The sequence below is a fragment of the Homo sapiens genome, chromosome 21 (assembly GCF_000001405.40).
Source record: "Homo sapiens chromosome 21, GRCh38.p14 Primary Assembly".
Classification (NCBI taxonomy): Eukaryota; Metazoa; Chordata; class Mammalia; order Primates; family Hominidae; genus Homo; species Homo sapiens.
The window spans coordinates 19,054,423-19,056,544 of NC_000021.9; positions in this window are offsets into that span (position 1 = coordinate 19,054,423).

Here is a 2,122-nt window from a genome sequence, read left to right on the forward strand (position 1 = left end):
GTTATCTACAGACTGAAACCTATTACTTTATATATTTTGTTTTGATGTTTTGTTTGTTTGCATTTGAGTTTAATGAGTTTAAGTCTAGACCCTATATTTTATGGTGCTCAGAAGCAGAAATCTACCATCTTAAATTTTGTTTTTCCACAGTATTCCCTACTGTGCCCTTCACACTGATGTATGAACTCAAGACAGGCCCACTTCTCTGCCGAAGAATGTCCTAATACCAAGTAAATAAGTATTCTCTGAACAGAGCTTGGAAAGGAGCTTGGGAAAGAGCTAAGTTGTATCAGAATCACTCAAATAGGAATTAAAAATATTTCTAACAATGTAAACAATATATGTAAGCCTAACAAATTCAATTAACAAGTATTGGATGTATCCTTGTGCCAAAAATACTATAAAGACAATGAGCAAAGTAATGGTGAAATACCGTCTGGTTTACACACACACACATACACACGAAAACATACACACACACGTATATAAACTGAATTTTACATATTACAAAAAAAATCCAGGATTATAAAAGTTTCAGCTACTGCTTTTAAATTGATTTTGTTTTGCATTTAAAAACAAGAACTAAAAAGGAATATAAAAATGGAGGGGAGGGGAGGCGGTGACATTCTAAGTGGAACGAAAATGTTGCCAGACCCTTTTCTCAGCAATTCTTTCATCTGGATCAGTAGATGCAATCTGAGTAGGAAAACAGCTTTCATTTGCCAGTTATTTTCATCACCTAGCTGTTGGTATAAATTATTTAACAATTCAGTTGTGTGCATGCTGAGCATGGTGTATAAACTAGTCTGCCTGATTCATATTTGTGAAGTGTATGCCATGCATTTGAGGTTGTTGCAAAATAATATTTCAAAAGTTCAATATGCACATTAAAATAAACTCAACTCATAGGAAAAGTGTGCAAATATTTGATATCATTAAAATCTCTGTAGTTACTGTTTTTAAGAATAAAATGTTACATATGATATGTATAATTTTAAATTACAGGCATGCTTTATTTTATTGCAGTTTACTTTATTGTATTTATCAGATACTGTGTTTTTTACAAATCCAACGTTTGTGACAACCCTGCATCAAACAAGTTGAAGAGCACCATTTTTCCAACGGCATGTGCTTATTTCATGTCTCTCTGCTACATTTTACTATGTATTGCAATATTTCAAACTTTTTCATTACTATTATGTCTTTTATGGTGATCTGTGATCAGTGATCTTAGCTCTTCCTAATGTAATTGTTTTGGGGAGCCATGAAATATGCTCATATAAGATGGCAAATTTAACTTATAAATGCTGTGTGTGTTTTGACTTCTCCAGTAATTGACTGTTTCCCTATCTCTTTCCCTCTCCTCAGAACTGCAAATTCCATGAGGCACAACAATATTAAAATTAGATCAGTTAATAACCCTACATTGGTCTCCAAGTGTTCAAGGGAAAGGAAGAGTCATACATCTCTCACTCTAAATCAAAAGCTAGAAATGACTGAAGCTTAGTGAGGAAGGCATGCCAAAAACTTAGGCCAAAAGCTATGCCTTTTGTGTCAAACAGCCAAGTTGTAAATACAAAGAAAAATTTCTTGAAAGAAAATAAATGTGCTAATGTAGTGAAGACAGAAATAGTAAAATAAAAAAATAGCTTTATTGTTGATATGGAAAATTAGTTTTAGGTGTCTGGATAGGAGATTAAACCAGCCACAACATTCCCATAAACTCAAACCTAATCTGGAGAAAGACCCTAACTCTCTTCAATTCTGTGTCTTCCAGAGAGGTGAGAAAGCTTCCGAAGAAAGGTTGGAAGCTAGCAGAGGCTGGTTCTTAAATTTTAAGAAAATAAATGATTTCTATAATATAAAGTATAAGATGAATTAGCAAATGCTGGTAGAGAAGCTCTACAGCAAGTTATCCAAGCAATCTAGCTAAGATATTTTATGACGGCAGCTACACTAAACAACAGATATTTAATGTGGACAAAACAGCCTTCTATGGGAAGAAGATGCCATCTAGGACTTTCTAGCTTATCTAAAAGATAAGTGGATGCCTGGATTTAATGCTTAAAAAAACAGACTGACTCTTTAGTTAGGGGCTAATTCAGCCAATGCTCATTTACCA